The 19,566-nt window shown below is 45.7% G+C and overlaps 1 protein-coding gene and 1 long non-coding RNA gene across 6 annotated transcripts in view, besides 3 other annotated features; both read left to right on the forward strand.

The window, feature by feature from the left end:
* Positions 1-19,566, forward strand: part of ABHD2 (abhydrolase domain containing 2, acylglycerol lipase) — a 161,358-nt gene that overhangs the window by 12,359 nt on the left and 129,433 nt on the right. Inside the window, exon 2 of one of the 2 annotated variants that reach the window (NM_001416423.1) lies at positions 16,735-16,835. The exons of the other annotated variant lie outside the window; for it this stretch is intronic. The gene's annotated coding sequence lies outside the window, so the exon portion shown is untranslated. The remainder of the gene's footprint in view (positions 1-16,734; positions 16,836-19,566) is intronic. 2 annotated transcript variants of the gene reach the window in all.
* Positions 1-19,566, forward strand: part of CARMAL (coronary artery disease region linked MFGE8 regulatory lncRNA) — a 43,232-nt gene that overhangs the window by 12,359 nt on the left and 11,307 nt on the right. For 2 of the 4 annotated variants that reach the window (NR_183882.1, NR_183880.1), the window contains exon 2: positions 16,735-16,835. This is a non-coding gene — a long non-coding RNA (coronary artery disease region linked MFGE8 regulatory lncRNA). Of the gene's footprint in view, positions 1-16,344; positions 16,467-16,734; positions 16,836-19,566 lie in introns of all 4 variants that reach the window. The other 2 variants (NR_183883.1, NR_183881.1) reach the window with 2 other exon arrangements.
* Positions 5,979-6,479: an enhancer, noted in NCBI's record as "H3K27ac hESC enhancer chr15:89602566-89603066 (GRCh37/hg19 assembly coordinates)". NCBI's record gives its function as "activates a minimal SCP1, AML or CMV promoter by ChIP-STARR-seq in naive H9 embryonic stem cells {active_cell/tissue: H9 hESC(naive)}" and the evidence as "EXISTENCE:reporter gene assay evidence [ECO:0000049][PMID:30033119]".
* Positions 14,877-14,926: an enhancer, noted in NCBI's record as "active region_10039". NCBI's record gives its function as "activates an Ori minimal core promoter by ATAC-STARR-seq in GM12878 lymphoblastoid cells {active_cell/tissue: GM12878}" and the evidence as "EXISTENCE:reporter gene assay evidence [ECO:0000049][PMID:35858748]".
* Positions 14,977-15,026: an enhancer, noted in NCBI's record as "active region_10040". NCBI's record gives its function as "activates an Ori minimal core promoter by ATAC-STARR-seq in GM12878 lymphoblastoid cells {active_cell/tissue: GM12878}" and the evidence as "EXISTENCE:reporter gene assay evidence [ECO:0000049][PMID:35858748]".

Genomic DNA, 19,566 nt, shown 5'->3' on the forward strand with positions numbered 1-19,566 from the left:
TACAGGTATTAGAGTACGGCAGTAGCAGTGGATAACTGACATGCAGCATAATCTCACCACCCTAGTAGAACTGACCAGGCCAGGGACCCTTATAGAAACAAAGGCAGCCAACTGCTGACTGAGCAGTGCCCTCTAACATGGCCTGGGGCCAGCGCTGTGACCAACAGCAGCTACCAATACTAACCACCCAATCAGATAGTGTTTCTTGGGGGATTTGAAGGGAGTGTAAGGCCCTCAAAGAAGGTGGACACAGGAGGCACTAAGCAGAGGCCATGGAAGAATCATGCATGAGGACAGCCTTCGAGAGGAGGGGAGAATGGAGACAGGCTTTGGGAGCGACAAGAGAAGCAGAGACTCAAGGGTGAATCAGAAGCCAAGGCAAAAATGGGCAAAGACATACCTATGATGGCGCCCCTTGGAGCAAGAGCAGTCCCACTGCCTTTGCAGGGTAAAGTGGTGCTCACATCTTTGCTTCTAGCGGCTGCCAAGCTGCCAGAGCTCTCATTTTCCCAATTAAGGTGCCAGCCTCCCGGACGCCTCACCTCCGCATGGAGCCTTGAAATGACCACTCACTTGCCAAGTACAGCACCTGAGCTGGTCTCTTCTCCCTGCAGCCCAAGAGAGTCTAACACATTGCTGCAGAGGCAGTAGAAAACATAGACAAGCCAAAACAAGAAAAGGAAAGGCAGGCACAGTGGCTCACTCCTGTAATCCCAGCACTTTGGGATGCCAAGGCAGGCAGGTCACCTGAGGTCAGGAGTTCAAGACCAGCCTAGCCAACATGATGAAACCCCGTCTCTACTAAAAATACAAAAATTAGCTGGGCATGGTGACACACGCCTGTAGTCCCAGCTACTCGGGAGGCTGAGGCAGGAGAATTGCTTGAACCCAGGAGGTGGAAGTTGCAGTGAGCCGAGATAGCACCGCTACACTCCAGCCTGGGTGACAGGGCAAGACTCTGTCTCAAAAAAAAAAAAAAGGATTTTTAAAAAAGAATTTATGCTGTGCCACCAAAATGTATGCATGTCAGAAATTGTACTTTGGCTAGGTGCAGTGGCTCACGCCTGTAATCCCGGCACTTTGGGAGGCCGAGGTGGGTGGATCACTTGAGGTCAGGAGTTTGAGACCAGCCTGACCAACAGGATGAAACCCCATCTCTACTAAAAATACAAAAATTAGCCAGGGTTGGTGGTGCACGCCTGTAGTCCCAGCTACTTGGAAGACCGAGGCAGGAGAATCGTTTGAACCCAGCAGAGGAGGATGCAGTGAGCCGAGGTTGTGCCACTGTACTCTAGCCTGGGCAACTGAGCAACACTCCATTTCAAAAAAAGAAAAAAGAAAAAAAAAAGAAAAGGCACCTGTAACCCAGAAACAACCACTGTTAATATTTCAGTGTTTATTCTTTCTCAAAGTCTTTTATTCTCTGCATATATTTTTATAAAATAGGGTAATACTATATGTACTGTTTGTAACATGGCTTTTCTTTAAACAGCTCTAAAAAAACATTTTTCTAAATAAATTAAAAATTGTCATTATATGTAGTGGGTATTCCATTGTGTGCAATGTGCTTAATCAATCTTCTATTGTTGCCAGGCAAGGTGGCTCACGACTGTAATCCTAGTAACTCGGGAGGCTGAGGTTGGAGGATCACTTGAGGCCCGGAGTCCAAGACCAGCCTCGGCAACCTAGCAAGACCCCATCTCTATGGCGCACACTTGCAGTTCCAGCTATTCTAGAGGCTGAGGCAAGGAGGATCACTTGAGCCCAGGAGTTCAAGACTGCAGTGAGCCATGATTGCGCCACTGTACTTCAACCTGAGTGATGAATTGAAACCCAGTCCAAAAAACTTTTTTTTTAAATCTCCTATTGTTGGTAATTTAGTTTGTGTCCAGTTTTAAAGTGTCTATCTTTTGATTTAACTATCCTACTTTTAGGACTATCTCCCACAAAAGTAAAACACTAGTTTCTTTTTTTTTTTTTTTTTTTTGAGACAAGGTTTCATTTCTGTTGCTCAGGCTGGAGTGCAGTGGCACGATCTCATCTCACTGCAACCTCTGCCTCCTGGACTCAAGCGATCCTCTCTCTCCTGCCTCAGCCTCTTGAGTAGCTGGGACTATAGGCGAATGCCATCATGCTCAGCTAATTTTAAGTATTTTTTTGTAGAGATGAGATTTCACCATGTTGCCCAAGCTGGTCTTGAACTCTGGACCACAAGCGATCCGCTGGCCTCGGCCTCCCAAAGTGCTGGGATTACAGCCTACTAGTTTATAATATTTACAGAGATGTTTATCACAATATTATTGATAATAGCAAAAATCACTAGAAACACCCTGGATGTCTACCAATATGGGGGCGGTTGAATAATCCATAGCATATTCTATACTATGAAATATTGAACTGCTATTAAGAGTGAGATGAAGTGAGATGAATCAATATTACTTGTCAAAATGATCATGATATGTGGCTAAGGGAAAATGTAGTTTACAAACTAATTGTGTAATGTGATTTTTGCTTTTTTGTTTTTACAGACTGGGTCTCACTCTGTCATCCAGGCTGGAGTGCAGTGGCGTGATCACGGCTCACTGCAGTCTTGACCTCCCGGGCTCACACAATCCTCCTGCCTCAGCCTCCTGAGTAGCTGGAGTCACCATGCCCAGCTAATTTTTAAAAATATTTTGTAGAGACAGAGTCTGCCTATGTTGCACAGGCTGGTCTCAAACTCCTGGCCTCAAGCAATCCTCTGACCACAGACTCCCAAAGTGCTGGGATTACAGATGTGAGCTGCCACGCCTAGCCTGATTTTTGCTTTTAATTAAAATTTTGTAAATGGAGGTGGGAATCCCTCTACGAATTTTTAATTTGTAACTATTCGTATCTTCCTAGGGAAAATAATAGGAAAAAAACTCACAAAACTGTTAATATTGCTCACCTCAGGAGATGGCATTGGAGATATTTGCTTAGTTACAAGAATATGTATGGATTTTGCAACTTGAATGACACAGTAAGAAAGAACACCATGCCCCAGTGCAGGATTGTGGCAGGAATTTGAATCTTTAATTCCTTCAGGCACCGGGCACAGATCGAGACCATCCTGGCTAACACGGTGAAACCCCGTCTCTACTAAAAATACAAAAAAATTAGCCAGGCATGGTGGCAGGTGCCTGTGGTCCCAGCTACTCAGGAGGCTGAGGCAGGAGAATGACGTGAACCCGGGAGGTGGAATTTGCAGTGAGCCGAGTTCGCACCACTGCACTCCAGCCTGGGCGACAGAGCAAGACTCCATCTCAAAAAAATAAAATAAAAAAATAAAATTCCTTCAGGGTGCTTGCAAAAGATAGAACAGTGCAATGAAAAAAATCAGACCCAGCAGCACTACTTATTACAACATGACCTTGAGTGAGTCATTCACCTCACTGGGCCTCAGTTTTCTTGTCTGTAAAATGGGACAATAGCAATCTCTACCTGTCAGAGTTTGTGTGCAGGCAGTCAGGAAATATAGTCAGTAGGCATTAAATTTTTTTCACACTGTTAATCCAGTTTATAAGTGATACCTTTTTTTTTTTTTTTTTTTTTTGAGATGGAGTTTTGCGCTTGTTGCCCAAGCTGGAGTGCAATGGCGCCATCTCGGCTCACTGCAATCTCCGCCTCCCGGGTTCAAGCGATTCTCCTGCCTCAGCCTCCTGAGTAGCTGGGATTACAGGCACACGCCACCACGCCCGGCTAATTTTTTGTATTTTTAGTAGAAATGGGGTTTCACCGTGTTAGCAGGCTGGTCTTGAACTCCTGACCTCAGGTGATCCGCCTGCGTCAGCCTCCCAAAGTGCTGGGATTACAAGCATGAGCCACTGCGCTAGGCCAGCGTGATACCATTTTTAAAAGTGTTAAGTGAAAAGGGTAAAGGATCTATTGAAGCCCCTTTGTAAGCATGTGAGTTCTGCTTGAGAAGCCACCCCCGGGTTAGCTCTTCTAAGCTGCTCATAGCTAATTCCCTTCCTTCATCTCCACTTCCCTTTGGGGTTTGGCGCAGTGATGATGGGGTTTCTGAAGATGAGGTAGGGCAGGGGTTACACAGTGACCACTGGGAAGTTGGGGACTGGCCGCCTCTGGAACTCCAAGGATTGATTTTCATGGTTAGCAAACAGCTGAGAGTTCTTTGGGAAGCTTCAATGGTGAAAATGCTATTTTTGGTAAGAGGGTAAGAATACAGCCCCTTCTTGTTTAGCCATGGTCGTGGAATCACGGTGGGGGCGTGCCTGGTGCATGGGCTCCTGAGAGGCAGGCCCCGTTGGGCTCACCCCCATTCCTGCTGCCATTCCCTCCATGGCCTCAGGGTGGCGCTGCTCCCTCTCCAACTGGGGCCATCTATTGCCACCATGCGGCTTCCCAGTGAAACCCGCTATTAATAAGAAGGAATGAAAAAAAAAAAAGAAAGAAACAAACCTGCCAGAACTTTCCAATCACACTGTCCTAAAAGCTGAGGACTAAGAAAACGAAGATAGATTCAGGGGACACCGTGAGTCAAAACTTTAGTTTGCCAGGTCTGACTTCTTTCCTGCAGCTCTTCGCCCTCTACCCAGTCCATCAGGGACCCCAGGACTAGGACTCCCTAGCTCCCCACTTACAAATTAAGCCCACCAACATTTGTGGGGCGCCAGGCAAGAGAACGAATGGAAGCTCACATACTCTATGTCTGCATATTTTCAAGTTGTTCAGTCAAGCTGATAAACCCTTAAATGAAGTATGCTCCATCCTTCCGCCTTGAGGTAGATACCTTCATAACCACCTAAAAGACCAGGTTGACTTTTAGGATTTTCAGCCTCCTTGGAGATCCATTCCCCTGGCTCTCCACTTCTGGCCCCAGGTCCACCCACCCACGCTCATCCTTTCAGATCGTGAGGAGCCTCACATACGTGTGGATACTCCAGCTCACACATCCAAGCTTCCTCCACACCCACACCCCTTACAACCCTGAAAACAGCTACCCCTTGGCCACTCCTAGTACCTAGCATGTGAACACAGGTAGTGAGGTCCACTCTTGGGAAGAGAGACCTAGAGAAAATGAAGATGCCCCGCAGGCACAGAAGAGGGCTTGCTGTAATTTGGACAGAAACTCTGGGGTCCTGGTACACGGAGCCTAGTCTTGGGTGGGTGTATGGACTCCCTTTGTAGAAAGGAACATGGCCCGAGGAGGTGCACAGCAGGAGCTTCTCCTGCTCTGGGCCCAGGGGATGGGGACAAGGAGAGATGACATCCTTAACTCCCTCCATCCCTCAGGAGTGCCCCTGGACATCGAGACTCCTGGAAATCTGGGTTGTGACAGGCCAAGTCCCTTCTTAATTCCTCTTTCCTGCTGTGGAGCCCCCTCATGTCCAATGATTGGCAGCAGGAAAGACCTCACTCTTCAGACAAGACCATAGTATCTGCCCTTGAAGCCTTTCTCTTTCAGCCCTCAACAATATCTCAATAAAAACAGCAATCCAACGTTGGACAGAAGCCTGCAGTAATGGGTGGTGGCGCAGAAGCCATCCTTTCAAGGGCACAGAGTGCCATTTCTCTCTCAAGGGATGGATAATTCCTGCCTTAATGCAACCTTCATCTGCCTAGTCACCAGCTGATGGGAAAGCAGCTCCAGCGAAAGATAAGGGCTCTTTGCCTGAAATGAAAAATTCATGAAGGAAGACTAGGAATGGGGCACGCAGAGAGCTGCCAAGTTGCTGTGCTCTGAGGACCTGACAAGAAGCTCAAAAAGCCAAATGGAAATTTTCTCTCCTCTCCAGCATCTCCCATCATGCCCTCTTCCATGTTTGGGGCTCTCTTCTCTGCTGTACCTGGTCACAGCTCTGCAGTCTCACCAATGCCCATATGCCAGGGGATCCAGGAAGAGGGGTACATCTGCCCACCCAGGCGAGCCACTTGACACCCACTCACATCCTCACAAAATGTTCGCTGTGGCTAGACAAGCTGGCATGGTTCTGACCACCTACCTGCCTAGACCAGACCTGGAGGAAATCCAAACTGGCTATTTATTTGTCCCTGGGAGACGCCTACAGATTACTTCCTGTTCCAATTTTCTGACCCACAGATCTGATCAAAATTCGTTAGGTTGATCATTGGTCACAACTCATAACTTGGGAAGGCAGCCCTGAATTTCTTGTCACAATGTTGGGCAGACAGTGGTATGGATGAAATGAAAGGGGAAAAAAACCTCTTGAACCATGAATTGGAGAATTTAACTCTCTCATAGGGATGGGCTTGAGAAGTACGACCGGCTACCCCATAATATACAGAATGGCACAGCAGTCGCAGGTGCCATTCCAGAGATGGTGGGTTCGAGGGCAGTAATTGATCCCCAGAAATTAGGTAGGAGGGCAGGCTGCCATCGCAGAGGAATCTGCCACCAAGGAAGTCCACCAGACTCTACTGTCAATGGGAAATGGGAAACTTGAGTCTCCTATTGCAGAGCCGCAGTTCCTTCTTCCTGCTGCAGGGTCCGTGGCCGAAGGAAAACCTCATTCCACTGTCCCCTGCCCAGGCCAGCTGTGGAACGCAGGTCCTCCATGAACTTGGGGGCCCCTCTTGGTCTCCCAGTGCATTGGCTCTTGGTTCCCAGGTCTTCCAGGCATTTATGCAGCCTTTTCCATTCAAAGCGGGAACTGGATTCAGACAGCAGTGTCTCATTGAAAAGCTTGTCCCTTCAACACCAGCCCCTAAGAACCACTCCAAGGCCTTTTTTTTTTTTTTTTTTTTTTTTGAGACAGAGTTTCGCTCTTGTTGCCCAGGCTGGAGTGCAATGGCGCGATCTCAGCTCACTGCAACGTCCATCTCCTAGGTACAAGCAATTCTCCTGTCTCAGCCTCCCAAGTAGCTCAGATTACAGGCACCCACAACCATGCCCGGCTAATTTTTTTGTATTTAGTAGAGACAGGGTTTCACCATATTAGTCAGGCTGCTCGTGAACTCCTGATCTCAGGTGATCCACCCACCTCGGCCTCCTAAAGTGCTGGGATTACAGGCATGCACCACCTCGCCCGGCCAGCCTTTTTAAAAAAAAACACTAACTCCTCCCAAAACAAAGAGTTTTTTCGCTCATTTTCTCCATACTAGAGCTTTACCATGAAGAACACAGATATAAAAACCTAAGGACTTATCTGCCCTCTGCCCCATCCCAGCACAAACAGGAAACTCATGCTACAACAAAAAGACAAAACATAGGTCACATTCTCAATGGGCCACCGTGATATACACAGAAGCCTAGCACTTAAGACTAAAGCCCCAAGTCCAGGTGTAATCTGTTTCTTCTTTTATGTGTAGGAAGTTGTTTGAAGCTTTTTCCTCCAGATTTTAAGTGATTTGTGTTCACTGTGGAACACTTGAAACGTATAAGAATAAAGACAAAGGGGGGAAGTGTCCATCATCTCACTACCCAGAAGCAAACTATTAATATTTTTTAAATATTTCTTTCCTAGTTTTGTCCTGTGCCTTTTTAAGTTTCATTTGAAATCAAGACTGTATATGCAATGTGGATCGAGAGTATTTTATACAGCCATTAAAAAAAAATAATGAAATCATGTCCTTTGCAGCAACAGGAATGCAGCTAGAGGCCATTATCCTAAATGAATTAATGAAGAAATAGAAAATCAAATACCACATGTTCTCAGTTATAAGTAGAGCTAAACAATGGGTACTCATGGACATAATGATGGAAACAGACACTGGGGACTCCAAAAATGGGGAGGGAGGGAAGGAGGGAGGGAAGGATTGAAAAACTACCTACTGGGGGCCGGGCATGGTGGCTCACGCCTTGTAATCCCAGCACTTTGGGAGGCCAAGGCAGGTGGATCACCTGAGGTCAGGAGTTTGAGACCAGCCTGGCCAACATGGTGAAACCCCATCTCTACTAAAAATACAAAAATTAGCCAGGCGTGGTGGCATGTGCCTGTAATCCCAGCTACTCGGGAGGCTGAGGCACGAGAATTGCTTGAACCCGGGAGGTAGATGTTGCAGTGAGCTGAGATCACACCATTGCACTCCAGCCTAAGCAACAAGAGCAAAATTCCATCTCGGAAAAAAAAAGAAAAAGAAAAACTACCTACTGGGTACAATGTTCACTATTTGGGTGATGGGTTCAATAGAAGCTCAAACTCCAGCATTATACAATATAACTCATGTAATAAACCCGCACATATACCTCCTGAATCTAAACAATTCAAAACAGATCTGTATTTTTTTTTTCTGAGACAAGGTCTCACTTTATCACCCAGACTGGAGTGCAGTGGCACAATCTCAGCTCGCTGCAGCCTCAACTTCCCAAGTTCAAGCCATCCTCCCACCTCAGCCTCTCCAGTAGCTGGGACTACAGGTGTGCACCACCACACCTGGCTAATTTTTGTATTTTTCTGTAGAAACGGGGTTTTGCCATGTTGCCCAGGCTGGTCTTGAACTCCTGGGCTTAAGCAGTCTGCCTGCCTCAGCCTCCCAAAGTGCTAGGATTACAGATGTGAGCTACGGTGCCTGGCCCAAAAAAGATAATTTCAAAAAGAGTATTTTCCCAGGGCAAACATATTAATAGCTGCCTAACTATTCATAATATGCCTGTGCCATAGTTTGCATGATCAGGAGGCTGAAGCTACACCAGTCAGAAGTGACTGAGCTTGCAGTGAGGGAACAGTAGGCCAGGCTTCAAGGAACTGGAGCAGGCAGAGCAATAAGGTTTAAGCTCACGGCTACCACCAAAGCCTGAGGTTATTTCAAAAATAGGAATGCTGGAAGATACAGCACACAGATGGAAAGAAATCTTTTGAACCTGAAGGCTGAAAGGAAAGCTGGCTAGGGTCCTGAGGCTATGCTGATATCCAGGAAAAAGCAGAGTGTGTGAAGAAGGGTGTTAAAGGCCCCAAGTTTGCTGTTTGTCAGGAATATAAAGGTTGTTCGGGCATTCGGGCAGAATGTACCCTACAGGTAAGACTGGAGGAAGTTATGGAATTGATTTTCGTTTGTTTTTGTGTGGGGGGGTGGGTTTTTGTTTTGTTTTTTGTTTTTGTTTTTTGAGACAGGGTCTCACTGTGTCGCCCAGCCTGTAGTGCAGTGGTGTGATCTTGGCTCACGGTAGCCTTGATCTCCCGGGCTCAAGAAGGGAGTATTAACTCCACTTCAGCCTCCTGAGTAGCTGGGAGTAGAGGCACACAACACCACACCTAAGTTTTGTAATTTTTGTAGAGACAGGGTTTCACCACGTTGCCCAGGCTTGTCTTGAACTCCTGGGCTCAAGCGATTCACCTGCCTCGGCCTCCCAAAGTACTAGGATTACAGGCGTGAGCCACCGCACCCAGTTGGAATTGATTTTTTAAAAATACATTTAGGAAGGCCAGGGGTTGGGGAGTGGTTCTAAGACTAGCAATAAAAGAATAGGAGCAGTTTCAGAAGCTGTTCGATTATCACATGAGCATGAGAATGTCAAAGAAGAGACGCTAAAGCCGGCCTGTCTCACCTTATTGATTTCCGGTGCTTACTGAATGCATTACTTTTATTGGAGAATAACTTCCTTTTCATTTTCTTTTATCTTGCTCATTTGAGTATGTCAGGTCTGTTTAATCAGTCACAATTGCTGCTGCTTTTTTTTTTTTTTTTTTCAGACAGAGTCTCACTCTGTCACCCAGTCTGGAATGCAGTGGCATGATCTCAGCTCACTGCAACCTCCACCTCCTGGGTTCAGGTGACTCTCGTGCCTCAGCCATCCAAGTAGCTAGGACTACAGGCGCACGCCACCATGCCCGGCTAATTTTTGTATTTTTAGTAGAGATGGGGTTTTACCATGTTGGCCAGGCTGGTCTTGAACTGCTGGCCTCAAGTGATCCCCCTGCCTCAGCCTCCTAAAGTGTTGGGATTACAGGTGTGAGCCACTACGCCCGGCCAAAAATTGCTGCTTCTTGATAGAGTATGGAATTCCTTTCTTTTGAGGTCAGGTTTATTTTTTCTTATTACATATGAAAAATTTGCTCATAACCAAAACTCCTAGAATATAGAAAAGCATGAAGTATAAGGAAGTAAATAAAAATCACCAGTAATCTGACTACCAAAAGATAACCACTGCTGACATATTAATATAAGTCCTGCCAGACTCTTTTCCTATATATGCGTTCTCAACTAATCTCTGCCTCTCTCTCTCTCTCTCACACATGCACACACACACAGACACACACACACACATCACATCACACATATAAACACAAAGAGAAAGGGGAGTATTCATACTATACATACAGTTTTTTTATTGTTGTAAAACATAAATAACAAAATTTACCATTTTAAGCATGTTTAGGTGTACAGTCCTATAGCACTAAGTACATTCACATTGTTATACATCTATCACCACGATTCACTTCCAGAACTTTTTCATCTTCTCCAACTGAAACTCTGTACCCATCAAGTCAGTGGTCCCCAACATTTTTGGCACCAGACTGGTTTCATGGAAGACAATTTTTCCACGGACAGGGTGGGTAGCGGGGATGTTTTCAGCATGAAACTGTTCCACCTCTGAAACCACCTTCTGCTGTGCAGCTGTGCAGCTGTGCAGCCTGGTTCTTAACAGGCCACGGACAGGTGCCAGTCCATGGCCCAGGGGTTGAGGACCCCTGCATTAAATAAGAACCCCCATTACCCCTCCCCCAAGCCCCTGACAACCACCATTCTGCTTTTTGTCCCTGCATAATTTGGTGACTTTAGGTATCTCATCTGAGTAGAATCATACAGTATTTGCCCTCTTGTGTCTGGCTTATTTAGCATAATGCCTTTAAGCTTCATCCATGTTATAGCATGTGTCAGAATTTCCTTTCTTTGTATGTATTTATATATAACATTGTGTCCTTTTTTTTTTTTTTTTTTTACACGGAGTCTCATTCTGTTGCCCAGGCTGGAGTGCAGTGGTGCGATCTCTGCTCACTGCAACCTCTGCCTCCCGGGTTTAAGCGATTCTCCTGCCTCAGCCTCCTGAGTAGCTGGGACTACAGACATGTGCTACCACGCCCGGCTAATTTTTTGTATTTTTTGTATTTTTAGTAGAGACGGGGTTTCACCGTGTTAGCCAGGATGGTCTCGATCTCCTGACCTTGTGATCCGCCCACCTCGGCCTCCCAAAGTGCTGGGATTACAGGAGTGAGCTATCGCGCCCGGCCAACATTGTGTTCTTATATTTATCTGTTGATGGACACTTGGTACAAATAGTTCTTTAGGCTGCTTTTTCCACTTAATATATTCTAGACATCATTTCATGTCAACAAAGTAAAATTAAATTATTATTTTTAATGACTATTTGGTATATTGCTCAACAGATATTTTATAAGTTATTTAACTAGATTGCTAACAATGAACACTTGATTATTTACAGTTTTTTTGCTTAATAGACTTTTCAGTGATGAACAATCTTTCCAATTTGTATTGAGAAACATATCACACAGGAGAGCATATAATGTATATGTTAAGCTTCAAGAATGCTAACAAAATGAACAGTCTGTATCCTACTCCCAGCTGAAGAAATAGAGTATTCTCAGAACCTCAGAAGCACCTGCAGGCCCTGCCCCATCTCATTGCCCTCTCATCCCCCGAGAGGGATCACTATTCTGATTTTTGTGTTAACCATTCCCATGCTTTTCTCTGTAATTTTATCATATGAGTATGTACATTCCTCCCCAAAAATATACAGCCTAAATGTAAGTCTACTGGATAAAAGAAAAAACATGGGTGCTATGGGCATCTTGGATCCTGGCCTTCCTTTCCAGACTCAATGCATCCAGTTATTTCCAGCTCAGAGAGCCCCTCCTCCATCATTGGTGTGATTCTCCACCTCCTCCTTCAAGGAAATCCTCCTTCCTACTAGGTTGTTATCAGTTTAGAATACCCCTCCACCTCTGCCTCTACTCCCATCCACCCGTTATGGCAAACTCATTTAGAATCATTGTCCATAGCACATTTTCCAGAAATGTTAATTAAGGGTGTAGAATAACACCATATTAGGAGGCTTCAACAGAATTGTCCAGGGCAGACTTGGGCATCCCCAGTCTCACCACTTGGGAGGTCCTGACCTCTGGTGTATGATATGCCTCCTCTTCCTCCTGAGGGCCTCTTGTTTCTTTTCCTGACAGTCTGTAGCTTACTCTTGGGTAAAATTAATGCCAAACACTCCCTTCCTAAGAACAAACAATGATCTTAGACATTACATTGTTTTAATGCACATGAAGGAGGCATTTCACTAAATGCAGCATAATTGACTAATATCCCTTGTATTTCAAATGAATATAGGCTTTTCCACAATTTTCCAGAGAAGTTTTAGCTTCCCCACTTTGCCTCACCCTCCTTATGTCTATACAGACTCTAGCTTTGGTTATCTTCAAGCATGTGCTAACTCTTTCCTTCCAGAAGCCCCCCATGATATAGAAATAACAGCACTCTGCTTGCTTCTGTCCTAATGCAGGATCCCAGGGAAAAGGAAGACTTCCTTGGTAATTGCAGAGAATGGAATCTGAGGCTAGTATACTGGTATTATCTACCATTTACATAATACCTGCTATGTTCCTGGCACTTTACATACATTATCTGAAGAGTACATTTTATTACTTTTGCACATAAGGAAACTCGGGTTCAATCATGCATCCAAAGACATTAACGAGTGAATGATTGATTCAGAGTTTGGACCAGGTGTGTGCATCACTAAAATGTTTGTGTTTGTGACCATTCCTCTATATCCTCTCTTTGGAAAGAGAAAGCTATGCAATATTTAGGATTTTTTCCCTGAGTTTCCTAGATCTGCTGTAACAAAGTACCACAAACCTGGGGGCTTAAAACAACGGAAATTTGTTCTCTCACAGTTCTGGAGGCTAGAAGTTCAAAATCATGGTTCCTTCTGAGGGGTATGAAGGAGGATCCCTTTCTTGCCTCTCTCCTCTCTTCAGGTAGTTGCTGGCAATCCTTAGTGGTATTGGTTTGTAGATGCATCATTCCAGCATCTGCACTTGGCCCTCTTCCCTGTGTATCTCTCCGTATTCAAATCTCCTCCTCCTTTCTCTTATAAAGATACCAGTCTTTGGCCTTAGGGCCTACCTTAATCCAGTATGACCTCATCTTAACTTGATTACATCTGCAAAAGACCCTATTTCCAAATAAGGTCACATTCACAGATACCAGGGGTTAGGACTTGAACATATATTTTGGGGGGACACAATTCAACCCAATACCTTGGGCATCCTTGTCACCAAGGCATTCTCCTATCATATTTCCTTCCCAAGGCCTGGAGGAACATGGCTGCCTGCTCACACAAGTAAATAGGAGGTGCTGGAGGTCTTAAGCCACAGCAGGAGGGCTGGGCAGAAACCTGTGCTCAGCAAGATACCTTTTCAGTGAAGGGTACCTGTTGCGGCAGGCCAAGAGAGCCACGGGCCAGCCAAGAGGCCAAGTCAAGCTGTAGTGAAACAGTTCCCTTTGGTGTCTGCAGCTGAGTGCCTGATTGCACAGTGGCATGGCACAGCTGTGTTAGTCGTCCTTTCTCCAGATGCCATGAAGTCTGGAAAATGTGTCTGGATACTTGTGAGGTCACCATACTTAGGGAGTTTGGACTCTGAATAAACAAGCGGCAGAAAGTCTTGAGATTCACAGCTCTTTCTGCTCCAGATTCTATACAGTTGAGGAAGGAGATGTGAATTGATGGTGGGGCCCCATGTTGGGGTGATCAGACCCAACACCAGGCCATGGGGGCTACGAAGTCCAGTGGAGTTAAAGGAATGAGACAAGACAAGAGTGCATAAAGTGGGATCAGGGGGCCAATGCTAGTATGGAGGCTGCTAAGGCCCGGAGCTCTGGAAGCCCACACTATTTATTGGTGATCAAACAAAGAAGCAGGTGGTGAGGATGTGGGGGTTGAAAGAAAGCAGTGTATCAAGCACATGATCTACAACTGTGACAGTTTAGCATTTTCTTTGAAGCATATGGAACATGTTCTGCTACTTGAGATAATGGGAAACATGTTCTTCTAGTTTAAGTTACAATCGATCTAATAGCCTGGGAGTGCTAGAAGCAAGAAGCCAGCAAGTCTAGACACATTCCAGAGGCCACAAGGAGTTTTAAGCCCTGAGCCCTGGATTCTGTCCAAGCCACAAGGGGTTTTATGCCCTGGGCTTAGATTGTGGTGTGGCAGGGCAGGTTTCCACCCTTTGGCACAGAGCTTGGTGTTCCAAAGGCCATGAGGGGTTTTAGACCCTGGACCCCAGGCATGTTCCAAGACTGTTTTACATTATGTCAGCCATGCAAGCCCTGCCTCAGCCTTTTTCCCAATACTCAGCTTTTCTCGAACACCCCAGATGTCTTCTGTGAGACCTGGCTGGAGTTCTACAGCACCTCCTGCCTGCTACTATCCTAACACTCTGTGGAGCAAACTCTATTCACTTGTTCTCCATCTTTTCCTTCTGGGCTCTGAGAGTCCAAACCTTGAGGTAGGTACCATGACACATTGGGGTCTCCACTCACAGCCTGATGCCTGTAGATGATCAGCCACTGTGTAATGAATGAACTCATTCTTCAATAAACCAGTGAATGATCACATGAAAGAAACGGTCTAGTGGGACTCTCTGGCCACAAATACTGAATCACCTTCCTCTTCTTTACCATAGAAGAAGGGAGAATTTCTTTCTCAAAGACCAAACCCTAGACTTCATAGTCTTTTTCTGTTTTTCTCCCCTACAGGACTTCTACCCCTCAGGGTCTCCCACAGAGCATTCTGTGGGCAACTAACCATCTAATGTTATTTTTATAGGGCCCAAGGGAGAAATTCTTATACATACACACATGTGCGCGTGCACACACACACACACACACACACACAAACTCTGTGTGTGTGCATGTATAAATGATTTCAGTTATGTACTGCTACATAACAAACCACCCCTAATGTAAGTAGCACAAAACAACCATTTTATTTTGCATACAGAGTCTTTGAGTCAGGAAATTAGACAGCAACTAGCAGGGGTGGCTAGCCTCTGCTCCCTGGTGTCTGAGACCTCAGCTGGAAAGACTTGAAAGCTGAGAATGACTCAACAATTGGGGGCTAGAGTCATCCGGAGGCGTCTTCACCCACATGTCTGGTGGTTTGGCTGGAACCTCAGCTGGGCTTTCAGCCCAAACACCTACACGTGGTCCCTCCATGTGTTCTCTCCACACGGGCTAGCTGGGCTTCATCAGACTAGCTGGTAACTGGGGTCCAAGGGAAGGTGTCCCGAGAAAGCAAAGCACAAGTGCATGGCATTTTTATGACCTGGCCTCAGAAGTCACAGAGCACCATATGGCATCATATGATATTGGTCAAGGTTACAGAGTTTTCCCAGGTTCAAGGCATGAGGAAGTGGGCAAGCTTCCTCTTTTTTTTTTTTTTTTTTTTTTTTTTTTTGTCAAGAGGGAGTCTCTCTCTGTTGCCCAGGCTGGAGTGCAGTGACTAGATCTTAGCTCACTGCAACCTCCACCTCCCGGGTTCAAGTGATTCTCCTGCCTCAGCCTCCTGAGTAGCTGGGACTACAGGCGCATGCCACCACACCCTGCTAATTTTTGTATTTTTAGTAGAAATGGGGTTTCACCATATTGGCCAGGCTGGTCTTGAACTCCTGACCTTGTGATCCACTCACCTCAGCCTCCCAAAGGCAAGCTTCTAGAACAGCACATGGACAGAAGATATTGGTATGTCACTTGGAAAACAGTCTGGCAAGCTCTTTTTTTCTTTTCTTTTCTTTTCTTTTTTTTTTTTTTTTTTAAAGAGATAGGATCTCTCTCTGTTGCCCAGGCTGGAGCACAGTGGCACAATCATAGCTCACTGCAGCCTCAAACTCCTGGGCTCACAAGCAATCCTCCTGTCTCAGTCTCTAGAGCAACTGGAACTATAGGCATGCACAACCACGCCTGGCTAATTAAGTAAATTTTTTTAAAGATGAGGTCTCACTATTTTTCCAAGGCTGGCCTCAAACTCCTGGCCTCAAATGATTCTCCCACTTCAGCCTTCCAAGTAACTGGGATTACAGGCATAATCTTTTTCTTTAAGTTGTAAAATTCACACACAAGACAGTAAATATAATTTAGTAGTTTAGAACTCTCCAATTGTGTTTCTCTGACCCTCGATCGAAAGTAACCACCCTTGTGAGTTTTGTGTTACTCATGTTCTTGCTTTCTTTATAATTTTGCCACTCCAGGTTTTTTCCTAAATAATATATTGTTTAGTTTTGCCTGCTTGCAAACTTTGTAAAAATGGAATCACACAGAAGCATTCTCCTGTCATCTTGTTCATTTACTCTTTTTTTTTTTTTTTTTTTTTTTGAGATGGAATCTTGCTCTGTCACCCAGGCTGGAGTGCAGTGGCATGATCTCAGCTTACTGCAACCTCTGCCTCCCAGGTTCAAGTGATTCTCCTGCCTCAGCCTCCCAAGTAGCTGGGATTACAGGTGCGTACCACCATGCATGGCTAATTTTTGTATTTTTAGTAGAGACAGGGTTTCACCATGTTGGCCAGGTTAGTCTTGAACTCCTGGCCTCAAGTGATCCACCTGCCTCGACCTCCCAAAGTGCTGGGATTATAGGCATGAGCCACCATGCCCTGCTATTTACTCTTGTATCATGAAGAAAGGGTAGGCTTGGTTGTGTTGTGGTAACAAACATCACCAAAATCTCAGTGGCTTATAACTCCAGTTATTTCTCACTTATACTATACAGATGTTGTGGATTGGCTGTAACTCTGCTCTGGGATCCAGGCTGAAGGAGCAGGCTCTATCTGGAACATTACTAGTCTCCAGGCAGAAGAAAAAGAGACAATGGTGAGCCATGTGATTTTTCTTCAAACTCCTCCTCAGAAGTGACATGTGTTCATTCTGCTCCCATTCTATTGGCCAAAGCAAGTCACATGGCTAAGCCTAAGTTCAGTGGGTTACAAATATAATCCCTATGTAGAAAGCGACCTGGAAGGAACACTCCTAGAGGGGCAACAGATATTTTGAAATAGTATCACAAGCTACCGTAGTATCCCTCCTTGTCACAATTATTTGCATCCCTAATACAAGCATCAGACATTAAGTCCAAGATCTCATGGTAGTTCCTACATTGGGTCTGGATGTGGTTTCCTCTTGGTCTGGAGATGCGGAACTAAGAAGTCTAGTTATCAGCCCTCCACATACCCCATGGGCCAAAGAAGAACAGGGATGGGGTAATCTCAATAAACACTCAGCAGATCTGGGGGAAGGCCTGAGGTTCTGCATTTCTAACATTATTTAGAAAGGAAAGAATGAGAGACATGATATTGGTCAAGGTTACACAGTGTTTACAGGTTCAAGGCATGAGGGAGTGGGCAAGCCTCTAGAATAGCATGTGGACAGCAGATATGGGTAATCATTGATCTATGGACATCTTGAAATTCCACTGGGCTGACATCATAAGGGGCCCCCTATCCTGGGGATAGGGAATATTTCTAGATTAGGTCTTAGTCCTGCCCCTGGAGGAAGGGGGTTCCTCATGCCATTCTCTTTCATGGCCTTTGGCTCTGCCGTCCGGAAGGGCCTTCCTTTTCTATTTTCCTCCTAATGAAGGCGTGTGCCTTCCTGAAGTGTGCCCCCCGCTTGCTCTCTGTGGTAGACTGCATTATTAAATACTCATTGCTCCTCTCCATGGGTCTGTTTTGCTGAACCCTAATTAACCTCAGTAGGGAAGGCACCAGGTTCAAGAGGTCAAAGAAGAGACCCAAAGGTAGCAAATAAGACATGGGGTTTTGGCCGGGCACGGTGGCTCACACCTGTGATCCCAGCACTTTGGGAGGCCAAGGCGAGTGGATCACCTGAGGTCAGGAGTTCAAGACCAGCCTGGCCAACATGGTGAAACCCCATCTCTACTAAAAATATAAAAAATTAGCTGGGCATGGTGTCAAGCGCCTATAATCCCAGCTACTTGGGAGGCTGAGGCAGGAGAACCGCTTGAACCCGGGAGGTGGAGGTTGCAGTGAGCCAAGATTGTGCCTTTGCATTCCAGCCTGGGCAACAAGAGCAAAACCCCGTCTCAAAAGAAAAAAAAAGACATAGGGTTTTATTTGGGGCTTACATACAGGGGAGAGTCTCCAGCAGTGGCAGACTGGACAGGAAAAACGCAACCACTTGCAAACAGCATGCAGTTTATACAGTATTTTCACTTAAAACCCTCCCCTTAACAACCTTCACCTGGTAACCTGCATTTAACCTAAAACAAATGGCCTCCATCCCTTATACGGCCCACATTCCACCAGACAGGAAGGGAGTGGGGTGGAGCTCACATGTTCCTCATAGACAGGAAGGAATCTCTGGGTTGGCCACTCCCAGATTCCCTAGCTCAGAGCACACACTCAGGTGCGTCTGCCATACAGGGTCATTCTAAGGGTATGCTTAAGTTATTGCTATTGGGTATGTTTATCCTACAGGGTCCCTCAATACTGGACGATTATAATGCTCACTCCCTGATGACAAACTTGGTCATATGACTTTTTTGGCCAATGGAAGTGGTGCATGCCACTTTCGGGTAGAAGCTTTATTGTAGGGTGACCAACCTCAGTTACCTGAAGACGAAGACTATTCTGGTTTTAACACTAAAGTGTTGTGTCCCAGGAAACCCCCAGTCCTGGGCAAACTGGGATAGCTGGTCACCCAAGCTGTAAGAGTCATGTCACACTTTTATTTTTTTCCTTTTTGAGGAGAACAAAAATGTCTCCGTTAGAAACCTCCTATGAGCCTTGGTCACAGAATGAGGAGGAAGATAGCTGACCTCGATGGATATGTAATGCAAATAAGAAACAAATGTTTGGGCCAGGTGCAGTGGCTCATGCCTGTAATCCCAGAACTCTGGGAGACCGAGGCAGGTGCATCACTTGAGGTCAGGATTTTGAGACCAGCCTGACCAACATGGCGAAACCCTGTCTCTACTAAAAATACAAAAATTAGCCAGGCATGGTGGTGGGGGCCTGTAGTCCCAGCTACTCGGGAGTCTGAGGCACAAGAATCACTTGAACCCAGGAGGCAGAAGTTGCAGTTAGCTGAGATTGTGCCACTGCTCTCCAGCCTGGGTGACAGAGCAAGACTCGGTCTCAAAAGAGGAAAGGAGGGGAAGGAGAAGGGGAAGGGGAAGGATGAGCAGGAGGGGGAGGGGAAGGGGAAGGATGAGCAGGAGGGGGAGAGGAAGGGGAAGGGGAGGGAAGAAAAGGAGAGGGGAGGGGAGGGAAGGGAAAGTTAAGTTTGGGGTTTATTTAGCCACTGAGTTGAGAAGGTCATTTGTTACTGCAGGATAACTTAGCCTAAGCTGACTGAGGCAGCTCTACATGATATCTTTGGTATTCACCCATTCATCCATTTCTTATTGATGTCTGACAAGTTCTGCCTCTTCTTGCCCTCAATATGGTTATGCCAAGCTTCTCCTTGGAACTTCAGTACTTTTGTGAGTAGAGCTGCCAAGTAAAATACAAAATGCTCAGCTAAATTTGAAATTCAGATAAACAATACATAATTTTAGAAACTTTTCCTAAATTTAAATTGATCA

This window comes from Homo sapiens, chromosome 15 (assembly GCF_000001405.40).
Source record: "Homo sapiens chromosome 15, GRCh38.p14 Primary Assembly".
Taxonomy (NCBI): Eukaryota; Metazoa; Chordata; class Mammalia; order Primates; family Hominidae; genus Homo; species Homo sapiens.